General features: G+C 51.8%; 2 protein-coding genes across 37 annotated transcripts in view, besides 3 other annotated features; one reads left to right on the plus strand and one right to left on the minus strand.

Moving 5' to 3' along the window:
• The window catches only part of ZNF273 (zinc finger protein 273), a 59,714-nt gene that overhangs the window by 1,238 nt on the left and 41,707 nt on the right, over positions 1-16,769 (plus strand). For 6 of the 36 annotated variants that reach the window (NR_169743.1, NR_169741.1, NR_169744.1 and 3 more), the window contains exons 1-2: positions 3,673-3,945; positions 14,908-15,057. The gene's annotated coding sequence lies outside the window, so the exon portion shown is untranslated. Of the gene's footprint in view, positions 1-609; positions 1,400-3,672; positions 3,946-9,444; positions 15,058-16,769 lie in introns of those variants that run through there. The other 30 variants (NR_169738.1, XM_047419813.1, XM_047419812.1 and 27 more) reach the window with 21 other exon arrangements.
• Positions 8,788-9,506: an enhancer, noted in NCBI's record as "H3K4me1 hESC enhancer chr7:64348006-64348724 (GRCh37/hg19 assembly coordinates)". NCBI's record gives its function as "activates a minimal SCP1, AML or CMV promoter by ChIP-STARR-seq in primed H9 embryonic stem cells {active_cell/tissue: H9 hESC(primed)}" and the evidence as "EXISTENCE:reporter gene assay evidence [ECO:0000049][PMID:30033119]".
• Positions 9,497-11,260, minus strand: LOC441239 (uncharacterized). Its single transcript, XM_011516745.3, has 3 exons — positions 10,612-11,260; positions 10,226-10,347; positions 9,497-9,977 (listed from the first exon to the last, which is right to left on the minus strand). Exons 1-3 carry the CDS (start codon positions 10,897-10,899, stop codon positions 9,497-9,499), a joined length of 891 nt encoding a protein of 296 aa, XP_011515047.1. The 5' UTR covers positions 10,900-11,260.
• Positions 9,507-10,224: an enhancer, noted in NCBI's record as "H3K27ac-H3K4me1 hESC enhancer chr7:64348725-64349442 (GRCh37/hg19 assembly coordinates)". NCBI's record gives its function as "activates a minimal SCP1, AML or CMV promoter by ChIP-STARR-seq in primed H9 embryonic stem cells {active_cell/tissue: H9 hESC(primed)}" and the evidence as "EXISTENCE:reporter gene assay evidence [ECO:0000049][PMID:30033119]".
• Positions 10,943-11,659: an enhancer, noted in NCBI's record as "H3K4me1 hESC enhancer chr7:64350161-64350877 (GRCh37/hg19 assembly coordinates)". NCBI's record gives its function as "activates a minimal SCP1, AML or CMV promoter by ChIP-STARR-seq in naive H9 embryonic stem cells {active_cell/tissue: H9 hESC(naive)}" and the evidence as "EXISTENCE:reporter gene assay evidence [ECO:0000049][PMID:30033119]".

The raw sequence follows: 16,769 nt of genomic DNA on the forward strand, positions 1-16,769 counted from the left end.
TGGCTCAAAATCTTCCACAGTAAACATTTCCAGGTCACAGAGGATGGCCTTCATTGAAATCCATTGCATGACTCATTCCTTCTGAGCACTGTCACGTTTTAATGACTGGGCAGCTGCGATACTGTTGGAACGGTGGATTCCAGTTATTTCCACCAACATGGAAACTCTTGTTTTCTCTATTCCATCAAAGGGCTACATGATTCCTATAGTATAAGAAGCAGGCAGCCATGTCTGCCTTTTGCCTGGTAATCTAGGCTGTGTTTCATTTCATCTGCACATCCTTCCTCATTGTGGAGAGGGTCTTTCATTGGGTTGTTGCTGGGTGGTACTTCCTCTCACCGTGGATGTAGTTGGCTGCCAGGGATTTCAGAGTCAAAAGAGACTGCAGTTCAGCTGGCTGCAGGCCAGATTGTGGGTAGTGATCTCGTTGTGGGGACTGGGGTGGTTTGCATTTTGCAGGAAGCTCCTGGGTGCACTAGCAGGAATCCCTCAAAGTGGGTTGGACTCTAACACGGGCCCTCTGGTTCTCCCAAGCAATACTTGATTTTCCTTTGCTTTTATGGAGGGTCCACAGTGCCCCTCAACAGCACTACTGGACATGTTTTTCAGGCTTGAAATCGCCCTTAGACAGCCTCTGAGACACTTTCTCAACCTCACCTGCCCCGGTGGGATGCCAACTCCAGGTGTCAGACCTCTGCTCCACCTTGGACTAGCCTTTGTCGTGGTTCCTGCCTTTCCCAGACGACCGTGCTGAGAAGCAGGAGCCCCTGTGAGGCCCAGGATGAAGGAAGACAGTGAGCTTAAGGACACAGGAATCTTCCGCTAGCACCATCATCCAGAATTTTAACTAAAATTCCATCTCAAAGAGACCCCTCAAAAACTCACAAGACTGTATCTCCAGCCCAATGGGACCCGATTCCTACACACAGCCTTTTTCGGGAATGGAATCAGAAACGCAGTTTCCATGGCCCAACTCACAGTCTCAAAGCCTGTCCTCCTCCAGCGGGACAGGGCCACGGAGACAAACTAAGGAAGCCCTACGGTGAGCAACGTTGGGGGCCCGCAGTACTTGTTGCAGGCAGCCTATTTCCTGAGACCAGGCAGGCTCTGCCTGCACCATTTTCCTTGCTTAGGTAGGCTGAAAACCCTGACAGCCTGGTGACCGAAACTGCCTCATGCATGCACCAGTGGCGGGGCACCAGGAGCAAGTAGTGAGCGCGGGCTCGAGTCACAGTGAATGCCTTCGTTGCATCTCGACAAGTCTCTGACTCTTGGCAAAGAGGGGGTCCTCTGTGACGTGCGTCGAAGTTGGACTTCCGGTTGTCTTCTCTGGGGATCCATGGGATACTCCCACGATCCAGGATACAATAGAGGCAGACCATTCTGAGGAAATGTCAAGGTAAGGCCAAGGGATACATCGCGAAATCCCTAAGAATCCAAAAAGATCGGCAGGATGCTTCAGGCATGCCTAGACGGAGTGGGGGTGAGTCTCCTTGAAAGTTGCACTTCTATGATTTCTGACTACAGCACTCTTGTATTCCCTGGGGCTGCCCTCCCCAGGAGGGGCTTCCTGGCGAAGCAGAACCGCGCTGCCTCAGAAACTGCCGGGCTGGGTGTTTCTGCGGGAGTGTTGGGAGTGTTGGCTGCCCGCGTGTGATGGCGGCTGTGTGTGTGTGTGTCTGTGTGCCTGTATGTGGCGTCAACTGAAAGGAATATGGCTGAAGCACTGCAGCCCTTTTTTTTTCGAGTCGCCCCACCTTCTGGAAGCCTCTCTGTGCGAAAGGGCTTGGGCTGCGGGGCTCCGTGTCCTTTACTTTTTCTGTGGTTACTGAATCCGCTATAAATTGGCGGGCTAGCTGAGATGCGACGGGCCCCAAATTATATCCCCATGCAAAGCAGCAACTCTTCTAGAAAGCAGAGGAGCACACTACACCCAAGAACAGAAACCCCCGAGTGCCTCCTTTTCCTGTGGCCAACCCAGGGCCAGACCCCAGCAGTCCTGTGCCCAGGACTCCTTGAATCCGCCTCGATTTTGGTTCTCAATCGAGCAGGCACTTCACGTCGTGAGGCGGGCACTCCTCCATCGTCTCGGGATTTCATTCCGGGGACGGAGAGTGTGAGCTGCAGTTAGGTCAGATGGGGTGAGGATGCAATCTGGTGAGGTGTGGATGGGGTCCCGCACCTTCATCTGCTAAACAGGTGCGGACAGATGATACAGAAGGTGCTTCCAAATCCACCCCCGCATTCCCTTCGTCCACAGGCCGTCCAAACCATAGCCCAGTGCCCAGCTGGGAGGATTCCAACCTGCCAGGGAACAGTTGGAGTGCAAACCCAGGCCATTCTGGCCAGCTCCCGATTTCCGCAGTCATTCCGGGAGCCACAGGGGAGTGGGATGGACTGAGGCTGGGTGGGATGTGGCCGGCACACCAGCCTCCTCTTTTCCTGACTTCCATGTTTCTCGTGGGCCTAGGGTTTCCTGGGTCTGGCTCAAAGGCTTCCACAGGAAACGATTCCCTGTCCACGGAGGACGACCCTCATGGGGACAATTGAATGAGTGTTTCCTTCTAAACACTGTCACGGTTTAAGCACTAGGCTGCTGTGATACTTTTGGAAGGGTAAATTCCCGTTACATCCGCCAACAAGGAAGCTCTGGTTTTCCCACTTCTATCAGAGGGCTGCATGATTCCTGTAGGATGAGAAGCAGGCAACAGTGTCTGGCTTTTGCCGGGTAATCTAGGCTCTGTTTCATTTCATCTGCACATCCACTGTCCTTGTGGGGGGGCTGTTGCTGGGTGGGACTTCCTCTCACCCCAGATCTTGGCTGCCAGGGACTTCAGGGGGCACAAGGGACTTGGAGTAGGCTGACTTCACTCCAGGTCATGGGTCGTGGTCTCTTTGTGGGGGCTGGGGTTGTTTGAACTCTGCGGGAGGCTCTTGGGTCCTCTGGCAAGGATCCGTGAGCTTGACTTGGACTCCAGCCCAAACCCTCTAGTTCTGCCAGGCGAGTCTTGATTTTCTTGTGCTTTCACGGGGGATCCACAGTGCCCCTCAGCAGCACTCGTGGACACCCATTTCAGTCTTGCAATCGCTGTAGACGGACTCTGAGACACTCTCTGATCCTCACGTGCCCCCGTGGGATGCCAGTTCCAGGGGTGAGACCTCTTCTCCACCGTGTCCTTTCCTTTGTCGTGGTTCCTGCTTCTCCCAGATTGCCCGTGGGTGCTGAGAAGGGGGAGCCCCTAAACGGCCCGGGATGAAGGGAGGCCGTGAGCTCAAGGGCCCCGCAATCTTCCGCTGACACCCTCCTCTGGGGTCGCAGGTATGAATCCATCACCCGGAGACCCCTCAACAACTCACCAGACTGCATTCCCAACCCCCTGGGACCCGATTCCTGCACACAGCCTTTTTCGGGAAGGGAGTCCCAAGAGCAGCTTTCAGCGCCCACCTCACGGTCTCCAATCGCCTCCTCCTCCAGGGGGAGCCGACCACGGAGACGCCCCAGGAGGCCCTGTGGTCGAGACTTTTATAGTCCCGCAATGGTAGTCGCAGGCAGCCCTTTTCCTGACCAGGCCGTCTCTGCCTGCACCATTGTCCTTGCTTAGGCGGGCTGACAGCCCCGACAGCCTGGCGCCCGAGGCAGCCTCACGAATGCGCATGTGCCAGTGGCGGGGCACAAGGCGCCAGCGGCGAGCACTGGCTTGCTTCACAGTGAACGCCTTCGTTGCCTGGCGACTAGTCCCTGCGGCTTAGCGGAGAGGGGGCGTCGGCGTTGGGCTCTCGCCTGTCTTCTCTGGGGGGATCCTCGGGATACTCCCACGATCTAGGACAGGGCAGGGGCGAGCCAGCCTGAGGAAACGTCAAGGGAAGGCCCAGGGATACACCGCGAAATCCCTAAGAATCCAAAAGGATCCGCAGGAGGCGTCAGGCCTGCCTAGACGGAGTGGGGTGAGTCTCCTTAAACGTTGCCCCCCTGTGATTTCTGACTACAGCAGGCCTGTGTTCCCCGGGGCTGCCCTCTCCCGGGAGGGGCTTCCCGGCGGAGCAGAACCGCGCTGCCTCAGAAGCTGCCGGGCTGTGTGTTTCTGCGGGAGTGTTGCGAGTGTTGGCTGCCCGAGTGTGTATGCGGCTGTCTGTGTGTGCGCGTGTGTGTGTTTCTGTGTGTGTCTGTGTGCGTGAAGGCGGCGTCCGCTGAAAGGAATATGGCTCAAGCACTGCAGCGCTTTTTCTTTTTTTTCCGAGTGGCCCGACCTTCTGGTACGCCTCTGTGCGGCTCTGCTTGGGCTGCGGGGCTCCGCGTCCTGTATTTTTTCCGTGGTTCCTGAATCCGCGGTGAATTGGGGGGCTGGCTGAGACGCGCAGGAGCCCAAATCACCACCCCCCCCTCACCAAGCAGCAACTGGTCTAGAAAGAAGAGGAGCACACCACACCCAAGAAGAGAAACCTCCGAGCGCCTCCTTTTCCGGTGGCCAACCCAGGGCCAGACCCTAGCAGTCCTGTGCGCAGGGCTCCTTGAATCCACCTCGAATTCGGTTCCCAGCCGAGCAGGCGCTTCACGTCGTGAGGCGGGCACTCCTCCATCGTCTCGGGATTTCATTCCGGTAATGGATAGTGTGAGCAGCAAGTAGGTCAGATAGGGGTAAGGATGCAATCTGGTGAGGTGTGGATGGGGTCCCGCACCTTCATCTGCTAAACAGGTGCGGACAGATGATACAGAAGGTGCTTCCCACTTCACCCCCGCATTCACTTCGTCGCACAAGCCGTCCACACCATGGCCCGGTGCCCAGGTGGGAGGACTCCAACGTGCCGGGGAATAGTTGGAGCAAACCCTGACCATTCTGGCCATCTCCCAATTTCGGCTGTCATTCCCGGAGCCACATGAAGTTTGAATGGACTGAGGCTGGGCGTGATGTGTCCTGCACCCCGGCCTCCTCTTTTCCTGACTTCCATTTTTCTCGTGGGCCTAGAGTTTCCTTGGTCTGGCTCAAAGGCTTCTACAGTAAACCTTTCCTTGTTCACAGAGGACGACCCTCATGGGGACCATTGTATGAGTGTTTCCGTCTAAACACTGTCACGTTTTGCGGACTAGGCAGCTGTGATACTTTTGGAACAGTAAATTCCTGTTACATCCGCCAACAACGAAACTCTTGTTCTCCCACTTCTATAGGATTGCAGCATGATTCCTATATGATGGGACCTAGGCTGCCAAGTCTGGCTTTTGCCTAATATTCTAGGCTCTTTTTCATTTCATCTGCACGTCTTTTCTCATTGTGGATTTCGTTGGTCTTTGGGCTGTTGCTGTATGTGAGTGCCTCTCACCACAGATCTTTTGCTTGCCAGGGATTTTAGGGATCTCAAGGGTTTTTCAGTAGTTTGGCTGCACTCCAGGTTGTGGGTAGTCGTCTCATTTTGGGGGGCCGGATTTTTTGCACTTTACAGGAGTCTCTTGGGTTTCTGGCAAGAATCCATGAACATGGGTTTGACTCCAGCACAAACCCTCTCATTCTCCCATTTGAGCCTTTATTTCCCTTTGCTTTCATGGGGGATCCACAGTGCCCCTCAACAGCACTCCTGGGCACCCGTTTCAGTCTTGCAATCACCCCAGACGGTTTCTGAAACTCTCTCTCAACCTTATGTGTCCTTGTTGGATGCCAGTTCCAGGTGTGAGACCTCTTCTCCGTCTTGGACTTGCCTTTATTGTCGTTCCTGCCTTACCCAGACAGCCGCGCTGAGAAGCAGGACTCCCTGGGGGGCCCTGGATGAACGGAGGCAGTGAGCTCAAAGGCCTCACAGTCTTCCACTGACACCCTCCTCTGGGGTCTCAGGTATGATTCCATCACCCGGAGATCCCTCAACAACTCACCAGACTGTATTCCCTTCTCCCTGGGACCGGATTCTTGCACACAGACTCTTTCGGGAATGGAGTCCAAAGAGAAGTTCCCAGCGCCCACCTCACATTCTCGAATCGCCTTTTCCTCCAGCGGGACCCGACTAATGAGACGGCCCGAGGATGCCCTATGGTAGTTACTTTTAGGCTTCCACAGTGATTGTCGCAGGCAGCATTTTCCCTAGACTAGGCCGGCTCTGCCTTCCCATTTTCCTCTGCTCAGGCAGGCTGACAGCCCTGACAGCCCTGACAGCCTGGCCCCAGCACCTGCCTCGCGGATTCGCATGCGCCAGTCGCGGGACACCTGTCGCGAGCGGTGAGCCTTGGCTCGCGTGTCAGTGTATGCCACCGTTGCCTGGTGACAAGTTTCTCCCTCTTGGTGGACCAGGGGACCTTTGTGGACACGTGTCGGCGTTGGACTCTTGCTCCTCTTCTCTGGGGGATCCACGGGATAGTCCCACGATCCCAGGAGAAGGCAGGGATAAGCCAGCCTTAGGAATCGTCAACAGTGCCCCAAGGCCTCCCCAAGCCCTCTCTGTGGTCCTGGCTTTGCCTCCTCCAAGGTGCTGTGACCTTAAACAAGTCACTGCCTCTCCTGCAGGCCTTCTGTTAGGACAGAGATAAATGGATCAGACAGAAAACAGAAAAGGTTATTCCAGCCCTCCTCTCTTCTGCCCCTTCACTGTCTGCCTGGTAAAATTGTACCTCTTGGTCACATTTGCTACTCATTAAGTCACCTGTCCTGTGGGAAAGTCCTCACGTTGGTGATATGAGGTCCCACTATCTACCCTTTAGGAATTGCAGAGTCTCATGAATCTGTGTGTGTTCATCCCAGGGTCACTTCGCACCTACACCTCCAGACCTCTAGGTCGCCCTGGGTTAATACTGAGACTAGAGGGAGAAGCAATTACAGGAGAGAAGGAGAGGAAGTGAGGAGGCATAATAGGGGATCTGGGGTTTGGTGATGCAGGAGGGACAGGGTCACAAAAGATTCACTGGATATGAGAAGCCCGCCCACGGAAAAGCTTCTAAAGATGGGTAAGGCGGTGCTGGGGCCACAGTGCCATTGGCCAAGGCAGACATCAACTGGGAGGGAGTGGAGGAGATGAGAAAGTTAGAAGGAAAGGGAAGGCCCAGATCAGATCTTGATGCTCTTTTCTTCCTAGACCAGCATGGTTTTCATTACTCAAATTCTCACAGGGCTAAGATCTTGGTTTAAACAAATCACTCTGGCTTACCACTGAGCTCAGAAAAGACTGCAGGGGCCTTGGGCAGAAGCAGGGAGACTGATACCAGAAAGGTAGCTACTGTGATAATTATGCAGGCTTAGGTGGGGGAAACCACACTGATGCTGACTAGGTACTCTGGATTTCCACCTCTGCAAGGCAGCTTCCTCACTTATTCAGTGAGGACACAGCCACCTGTTGCAGAGCAGTTTTGAAGAAGAAATAAGGTTCACAGGCCCAGCTCAGCACACAGTAGGCTCTGAAGAGGCCTCCTTTACTCAGTTGAATGAGCCCAGAACATTTGAACTGTTGCTTGCTGTGTGACCCCGGGAAGGTTACTTCACCTTACTGAGCTGGTTTTCTCCTTAAAGTGGGGTGGGGTAGACATGTCAGGATGCAGAATGGAGCTGGACAGAATGTAGGCATTTCTGCTGCATCTGGAAAGTAAGATAAGTGAGCTCACTGTCACAAAAGGCACAGAAGAGGAAACTAAATTTGCACTTGGTGGAGAAAATTTAACTCTACTAATATAAACTGACCATCGCTACATGTTTACTGGGCACCTGGTGCAGGGCTAAGAAATCTGCCATTATAATCTGATGCAGTGGCACTGAGCCTGCAGAGTCAATGTGCACTCACAAACTCAACCACTGTCATCTCACTTAACCCTCACACATCACCTGTCAGAGGTAATCCCCAATCTCCATAGTACAATTGAGGAGACTGAGACCAAGGTGGTGAAGGATCTTAACCAAAGCCAGGTACAGTGGAGTTCTCAACGCGAAAGGAACTCACACCTGGGCACACCTGCATGAGGTGACCTACGATGCTTTTTACTTTCCATCAAAACAGTAATTGATGCTCATATCACCTTCTTGTGGTACAAGAAGGAAACCACAGAAGAGAATGAAAATGGAAAACATACATCATCACCAATGTTGCCTCCCAGAGATGAGCATGGTCCCCATGTGGAAGTCTTCTGTCCATTTCTCCCTTGGCCTGCACACATTATGATAGTGGCAGCAGATCTGTGCTGGGCATTTACCAGGCTGGGCACGACACCAAGAACTTTACAGATGTCCCTTCACTTATTCCTCACAAAGGTGTTATGTCCCAAGGACACTGGGGACCCTATGGAGACTACTTTTCCATGGTCGGTACTTGGTTTGGACTGAGGTCTCATGTGGATCAAATCCCTGTGTGTGTGCAAAGCTAGGTCTATCATTATTTTCTGATGGATGAAGTGGAGGCCATGCTGTGAATGTGTGCACGTGCAAGTCTTTGACACAGGCAGTTTTCTCTAAAATGCACAGCCTGCCTTACCAACTTAACTCCTTCCACACCTCAGACCAGCCCCTGCAATTGCCCTTTGCATGTTCTCATCTGGCCTCATGATCATCTCCTTCCACGTGGGTCTCCCTCCTTCCATGTGGCCCTGCATGGCAGGCAGGGCACATGCTAACCTGTCTTCTGGTAGTTTGGAGTGAGTGGAGAGGGCCAGTGTCCTCTGGATGAAGGACAACTGCTCCATTGTGCAGTGTTTTTGTTGTTGTTTGTTTGTTTTTGAGATGGAGTCTAGCTCTGTTGCACAGGCTGGAGTGCAGTGGTGGGATCTCAGCTCACTGCAACCTCTGCCTCCCGGGTTCAAGCGATTCTCCTGCCTCAGCCTCCCAAGTAGCTGAGATTACAGGCGCCCGCCACTACATGCAGCTAATCTTTTTGTATTTTTAGTAGAGACAAGGTTTCACTGTGTTGGCCAGGCTGGTCTTGAACTCCTGACCTCATGATCTGCCCGCCTCGACCTCCCAGAGTGCTGGGATTACAAGCATGAGCCACCGTGCCCTGTCTTTTTTTTTTTTTTTCTTAATAGTTCAGGGCTCTGACTCTGAGCAGGGTGTCCTGCCCCAGGGTTCCCCTTGACCCATTTCAGAGGGGTGGTCGGGTGGGTCACTGGTTCCTCACCCTTGTGCGAATCCAGAACTTGCATCCTGATGGGGGAAGCAGGAAGCCCTACCTGCGCTGGAGGGCATAACCCCAGCCCCAGGGCAGGCAGAAAACTCCCCCATCCCTGAGAAGTCCCAGCCCCAATGCTGGCACTCAGGCAGGACCTGCCCAAGTGGGACCTGTCTCCACCTTCCTCACACACCTCCCTGACACTCACTCAAACTCCTGTCACCTGGGAACCTCTACCAGACCTGTGCTTCTTCCACCTGGGGAGCCCCCGGGGCCCTCATTTCACCCCATTCCCTGAAGCCTGGCTGCTGCTGCTGCTGCCCCACCCTCCAGCCAGAGGAGGGCGCTCCCTCGTCAGATGTCCCTGTCTCTATGGGGGTCCTTCCTCCTGTGAGCTCCGTGGCCTCGCACAGGCTGCTCAACACCTCTGAGCTCAAATTCCTGCTCCCAGGGGGAAGCGGGTTATGAAGATGAGAGGGAGAGAGAGCGAGCTGTAAGGGAAGCAGGTGACACGGGGCTGGACAGGGAAGGGCCTGGCTCTCAAGGAAGGGAGCTTCTCCAGGTGGCTTCCTCCTCTGTCAAATGGGCCCACGAATACCCTATTGATGGTGAGAATTAAGAGATACGAAACCCATTCGTTCTTTATTATGATGATTTTTATTTTCACAGTAGCACTTAGCACCTGCCCGCCCTCCACCTTCTCCACCACCCAGCAGGAGCGGGGCGGCCTGGATCTGTTTTCTGCCCCTGACCAGGGGGCCGCGTCTTCGGCAAAGTCTTCGGGGTGAGAGGTCCGGCTCCTGGAGGACAGCGGGATGGGAGAGTCCCGTTCACACCCAGCCCCGCAGAGCCGGATAGAAACGCTGCCACTGCCGACTCCATGCTGCCGGGAAGTGCACTGTGGAGGCCACTTTCTGGAAAGAAGAAACCGTCTGAACACAAAGTTGCTCAAGCCATGTTCATCTATCTGCCAGGGAAACGGAGGCCCTGAGTGCCAGAGTCCAAGTCACCCTGCAAGAGAAAACTCTGGTGGAGCCCAGGGTGTCCAGCCCCTGTCCACCCAGCCGCCGTGGTCAAGGTTAATAAGGGCAAGGGGCCAAGCAGAACCGCCTACAAGGAACCGAGTGTCCACAAAGCAGGAAGCGAAGAACGTTTCTCCTACCTAGAGCGCAGCCGTTTTGCGGAAGGCACAGTCCGGGCTCCGGGAGCCAAGCAGGGATCCGGGCCTCGTTGCGGAGGGGACGCCCGGGCTGAGCTGAGCTCACTTGCTGGCGGCGGCAGCCCCTGCAGTCATGGGGTCACCGGCTTGTGGAGAGGGGCTGGCGCTGTTCCTTGGCCCCGCTCCCCGCCCGCAAAGGGCCGGGAGGTCGGGCTCCCGGCAGTGTCCAGGCTCTCGCCCGCCGGTGCCTGAGCCGTACCCACCGCGTCCCCTCCGCCCCAACAGCTGGTGCTGAGGGTCCGGCCCGGGGTCATCTGGCAGGGCCGTGCGGCTCCTGCGGGTGACCAGGAGCGCGGAGCCCCTTCCCACTCGGGCTCGGGTGGCCTCACCTTTCCTGGGGCTGCGTCCCCGCGGGACGCCAGGTTCCCGGTTTCTTCTAGGTCGCCCTGGTTCCTGGCAGCTCCTGGTGCCACGCGGTCCTCTACGGTCTCCTCTGACCTGAGAGGGACAGTGAGATGGGGCTGGCGGGGATGGGGGTCCCCGCGCTGTTGGAAAGCAGCGGGGCTGCTGCTGACCGGAGCCGCCTGGGTCTGTTCTGGAACCGTCGCCCTGGGGCCCCTCCGCCCCGCAAACGCTCGGGATGCGGTTTGGGAGTGTAGCTGGACACCGAGCACCATCCACGCTCAGCCCCACGGGGCTCCAGGAGTCCCGAGCCCAAGCCCCTGCACTTGCATTTTATTTAAAAAACCTGAGGGTTAAATTCGGGCAAGTCAGTTGCCTCAGTGTTTGTCGCCTGCTGCCTCTATGTCGGCTTCTTTTGCTGGCAGTCAGAGACCAAGCCCCCACGCCCTCCAGGACCCTCTATCTGGTGAGGCCACCTCTGCAATCATGAGCAGCACTGAGGTGCTTCCGACCAGGGGTCACTGCCCCAGCCGGTGAGAGGCCCTGCAGTGGGGACTGGAGATGTGCGACGCAGCCTCCCAGAGCCCGCATCCTCTTGCCCAAGGAGGCTGCACACCCTCACTCAGGGCTGTGAGGGGGAATGAGGGCAGCTCACAGGCTAAGGGGCCGCTGAAGACAGGTTTTGTGGACAGGTGATTTAGGAGCCTGGAGGAAGCAGGTTAGGGGTGTGTGTGTGTGTGTGTGTGTGTGTGTGTGTGAGAGAGAGAGAGAGGGAATTCTCCCATGCCAGGACATCTGCGTGTCTCAGTAGAGTAGGAGTGAACAGCAGCATCCCTGCAGAGGAGCAGCATGTGGACAGAGTCACAGGCTGGCTGGATCACAACAAATCCTTGTGGGTCAAGGAGAGCAGGTTCCGTGATCAGCTGCGGTCTGGGTTTTGTGTTTGCCTTTTCCTGCTGTTCCAATAAGCCAGGGCACTGGGGCCAGATTGCCCTCAGCCATGGCCAAGGGTTCCCTGACAAGCTGGGGAGGACGAACTCCCTTCCCAACACAGGGACATAGAAGATCAGAGCAGCCTGCCCAGTGGGGATCTGAGCTCAGAGAGTGGAAGCCACTGTCTCAGAGTCACAGAGCAGGTCAGTGGCAGGTCCCATGTCCCTGACCCCCAAGCTCTATTTCTCTGAGGAAATATTCCATCCAAGAGCATGAGAGTCCTCTGAGCATGGACTCCCTGGCAGGTGAGGTCATTTTACCTGTTATCTGTTTTCATCCTCATTGTGTGTGTGGTTTGTATCAGTGTCCCCATTGTAAGGCAGAAAACAGGCTCAGTGATGGGGCAAAGGCTGGTGCAAGGCTACAGAGCTCAGAAGTGGCTGAGGTGAGACAAGAACCAGCAGGCTTCCTTCACCGTTGCTCTGCTCCATCTGGAGGTTGGACAATTTGCCTGTGTGCCAACAGCCACAAGCCTTTGTTGGCTCAGGGTAGATATGAAAACCTGGAAACCATGAAGCTTTCAGCCCCACTCATTTCTGCAGGGGCAGATGGCTGTGCTTGGCCTGGGCTCCCCATTGCTCAAAATAGAGCCTCCTCTTTCTGCCAGTGGTCCCAGAAATGAGTCACAGGTGGGTGAGGTTGCAGCCAGGCCTGGGCAGGATGATGTCTTCTGGGCTAGGCTGAAAACTCAAGCCTTGCAGCTGGACAAGTTATGACTTTGGTTCTGCCTCAGTCACTCCGAGGCTGGACAACTCTGGCCATATCTCTCTGTAAGCTGTGGTTTCCTTATCTTTAAAATGGAGACAATGGCACCTCTCTCCCAGAGTAGCCACTGGGGCTTAATAAAGCCTCAGCATGAGAAGATGGTGTATTTGTATTTGTGAGTTTTCCTTGGTCTATGGTGACCTTCCTGTGGGTAAGAACCAAGTATCACTTGGCTCAGGACCCAGACAGGCACAGCACAGCCAGAACCAGAGGGGCCTAGGCCTGGGTATGATTGGAATCCAGGCATCTGGCCCAGTTTTTCTGGCTCTGTCTCCTTCCCCATCTTTTCCAAACTGGTCCAAGGATCAGATTTGCCATGTCACCCAGACATCGTTGTGGCCCTGTCTGAACAAGCAGCATCAGAATTTCTCTGGTGCCAGCTGGATGACTCAGAGAGAAAAACTGGTCACCAATTTCTGCTTCAAGTGGGTAGGGAAGAAAGCTACCACTTGCAGCTACTTATTATGTATCACCAGCCAGGCACTTTTCCTACTTAGTGGTCACCTCAGCTAAGTCATAAAGACACAGAAAAGAGTGCCTTGCCCCAGGTTCACAGCTGATAAGTGGGGTGTGGGAGAGGAGGTGCTGAAATCCACATTTATCTAAACCTTTCAGACCCATGTGCATTTCTCCATTTTTACCACATTGTCCCCTCCTTGGTGACAGCCTGGGCTGCTGCTCCTGCCTCTCACTGGCCTCTCTGCCTCCAAGCTGCCTGTGCCTTAGGAAGCTCCATGTTGCACTTTCAAACCAGCAGCCCAATCCATCCCTCACCTACTTGTGCCTTTCAATGACTCTCATTGTCCTCAGAAAATGACCCTGGCTCCTAGGTGTCCACACCTCTGTGGCCCTGAGCAGGCTGACAGAAATAAAACTGCATGCCTCCTTTCCTTCCAGTGAAAAGAAATCACTGGATATTGCAACAAAATTTAAACTTATCATTTGGGAGAAATCAGAGTATCCTCTTTCATAGACAAAAAAAACAGTATTCAACCCTAAAAGGAAAGAAAACAATTCTCTTGAATGCTGCCACACTTGGAAAAACAATGGAAAATAAACACTGGAACCAGCTAGACCTGCCAGAGTTGCTGAGGGAGGATTAAATGAGTTATTATGTAATTTGCTTAGCAACAGTGCTTGGCTCATAGTTAGTGCTCAGTAATATCAGCTATTCTTTTTTTTATTGTAAATAGAAGAGAAGCTAGGAATGAATCCATGACCTTGGATGGGCATCCTCTGTCTTCCCCAGGACAGGGGTTCAGTGTCATTTTCCAGGAACCTAATGAAGCAGCCTTGTTCTTCTGGGGTGATACCCGAGATTTGTTGCCTAATGGTCATAAAAAACTAGGATGTGGACACACAAGAGTGAGGTTAAGAGCAGAAGTTTAATAGGTGGAAGAAAGAGAAAAGCTCCCTGTGCTGCAGAGAGAGGGGTCCCAAATGGGCTGCAGGATCCACAGTGAAATGCATGGGATTTTATAGATGCCTGATGAGGGGGGCGGTGTTTGATTTACACAGGGCACGAAAGATTGGTTGGACCAGGTATGTCATTTGCATGGAGCATGAAAAATTGGTTAGAGGTATGTCATTTGCATGGATTACGGAAAATTTGCATAGGTGGCAAATTTGTGTCCACTCCCACCCTAATCTTGTATTATGTAAGTGGGTCTTAAGTGGGTCTTCTTCCTGAGCTGCATCATATTGCCCATTCCTTTACTCTACATGTAGTAACAACAACAACAACAAAAATGGAGCCTCTGTGTTGGACATGCCTGGCCCACAGGTAGCCCTTTTCTATTGGCACAGCTGCCGGCATTCACCCTTCCAAGCTTCCAGCTTGCTTATCTATGTTTGCAGCTCCATTTTTCAGGCTGATCTTTGTTAGTAAAGAAAAAAAAAAATTTGTCTTCCTTTTGCTAAAGGGAAGCTCTGCCAAGTACTCTTTTATGCTCACTGTCTGTCAAATATTTTTTTTCTACTTTCTGTATCATTAAGACTCATCATCACTCAGAGACAACCAAACACTGTGACATTTTGATATAACCCTTTCCAAAAGTGTATATTTTTCACAGTTTTGAGCACGCATTGCATACCATTTTTTCACTGAACACAATCTATCATGAACATCTTTCCATAACTTAAAAGAAGCTGCATGCCAGAACAGTCCATCATGTTCTGTTTTCTTTCAGAAATCTTTAGAGATGGATCATTTTCCTTACAAGAATAGATACCAGGTAAGAGAAGCAGCCTTTAAAGCAGCGAATAGCAGCTCATGCATGCTAATTATTTGCTTACTTCTCTGGCTCCCCTATTGATGGCATCTTGAGGGCCGGTATGAACATGTCATGCAGTCTCCAAGCAACCCACAGTAGGCCCACCATAAACAGATGTTGTGGCCAGCATGGGAGGTGCAATGGTGAGTTGCTCTGTTTCCTCCCTCCCGTCCCCCTCCCCACCCCTCCCCTCCCCCTCCCCTCCCCCTCCCCTCCCTTCCCCTTCCCTTCCCTTCCTCTCTCACAAAACAGTCACAGAGAGAGGACAGCAGCGTACATGGTGAGGTGCTGACGATTCTGGTCCACTGGATCCCACCATCCCTAGGACAGTAAATACCGTCCTAGTCACTACCCAGCAAGTTACCACCGCATCATTTCCTGCATGTTCCAAAATGAATAAAGGTAATTAAGCATAAGTGCAAATAAAAAGTCATTTCTCATGTTTTTAATCTAAACTGTCACAGTTTAGTTTACTATTTTAAGTTCTTTTCGTGCTAAAACATTTGTTTTTATTTATTTATTTATTTGAGACATAGCCTTGCTCTGTCGCCCAGGCTGGAGTGCAGTGGTGCAATCTGGGCTCACTGCAACCTCCGTCTCCCGGGTTCAATTAATTCTCCTGCCTCAGCCTCTAGAGTAGCTGAAACTACAGGCGCGTGCCACTACACCTGGCTACTTTTTGTATTTTTAGAAGAAACAGGGTTTCACCGTGTTTGCCAGGCTGGTCTCACACTTCTGACCTCAAGTGGTGCACCAGCCTCGGCCTCCCAATGTGCCGGGATTACGGGCATGAGCCTCCATGTCCGGCCAATCATTTGTTTTTTTAAAGTGGCAGCCATAGGTCCTGTCCGTCTGGATATATTTTGAACTTTTGTATGTTAAATATAACACTAAAAAACTTTATTATGTTTTAGGTAATCTAAGATTGGTGTATACAAACAAACTTTACAGATTACTGTAGGGTTCAGGAAATGATGTATATAATATGACATTTATATCTCTAGTTTCTTATGTATAAATCTTCCTTTAGAAAAGATTGGCTTTTTAAAAAATGTCTCCACAAATTTAGGCTTATTTTATAAAATGTCACAACAGTAAAAAAAAAAAAATACTTTTTACCTTTCTAAAAAAGTAAAATACTCTTTTGCCATTTCATAAAATAAACCTGAATTTGTCATACTATATAAATACTGGTACTCAAATAAAATACCAACTATTTTAATCAAAATTATTTAGACAGTCTATTTATATAATTTTATGATTTTTAACTACAGTGATGGGCATTCACAAATCTTTCATAAATCAAACATATTAGTATTAGGTTTTACTTAGTAGTTATATACGAAAGATCGGGCCGGGCACGGTGGCTCATGCTCGTAATCCCAGCACTTTGGGAGGCCGAGGCAGATGGATCACGAGGTCAGGAGTTCAAGACCAGCCTGGCCAACATAGTGAAACCCCGTCTCTACTAAAAATACAAAAAAAAAAAAAATTAGCTGGGCATGGCAGCGTGTACCTGTAATCTCAGCTACTCAGGAGGCTGAGGCAGGAGAATCACTTGAACCCAGGAGGCAGAGGTTGCAGTGAGCCCTAATCGTGCCGCTGCACTCCAGCCTGGGTGGCAGAGCGAGACTCCATCTCAAGAAAAAAAAAATTTGAAGATCTTTTCAAAATGGAGATTTTTAATTAATAATTTGGTGCTTTCAAATACACTGAAGTCTTGTGTTAATCACAGTAAGTCTGGGGATAGTGAATTAATTTTATTTTTTTATGATGTGTTCAAAAATTTTTAGTTTAACCTAATATTGATTGATGATGAGTAAACAAATTGATTTTTTTCAAATTTCATAGGTCTATTAAATTGTCAAAGATATTTTTAATTAAAAAATTCTGTCTTTCAATATTGTTTCAGGGATTTAGATCTAGTTGAATCTGCTCAACCTGTTAATCAGTGTCATGTGCCAGATTCCGATTCACTAACAGTGTGCCTGTATGACTTTTCTTTCCATAGTCTTTGAATGAAATTTTTATTACTTATTTGTATGTTATATAGTACAGCTCATACATTTCAAACGAAACCACAGGGTAAAATGAGTTCTGGCTTAGTATAAAAA

Source organism: Homo sapiens, chromosome 7 (assembly GCF_000001405.40).
Source record: "Homo sapiens chromosome 7, GRCh38.p14 Primary Assembly".
In the NCBI taxonomy this organism is placed as follows: domain Eukaryota; kingdom Metazoa; phylum Chordata; class Mammalia; order Primates; family Hominidae; genus Homo; species Homo sapiens.

Excerpts from the sequence above, each read along its gene's own strand:
- LOC441239 (XM_011516745.3), bottom strand. The coding sequence starts at position 10,899 with ATGGTGCTCGGTGTCCAGCTACACTCCCAAACCGCATCCCGAGCGTTT. Across the intron at positions 10,348-10,611 it reads GGGACGCAGCCCCAGGAAAG|GGGCTGCCGCCGCCAGCAAG; the intron begins GTGAGGCCACCC and ends CCATGACTGCAG. Across the intron at positions 9,978-10,225 it reads GCAAAACGGCTGCGCTCTAG|AAAGTGGCCTCCACAGTGCA; the intron begins GTAGGAGAAACG and ends TCTTCTTTCCAG.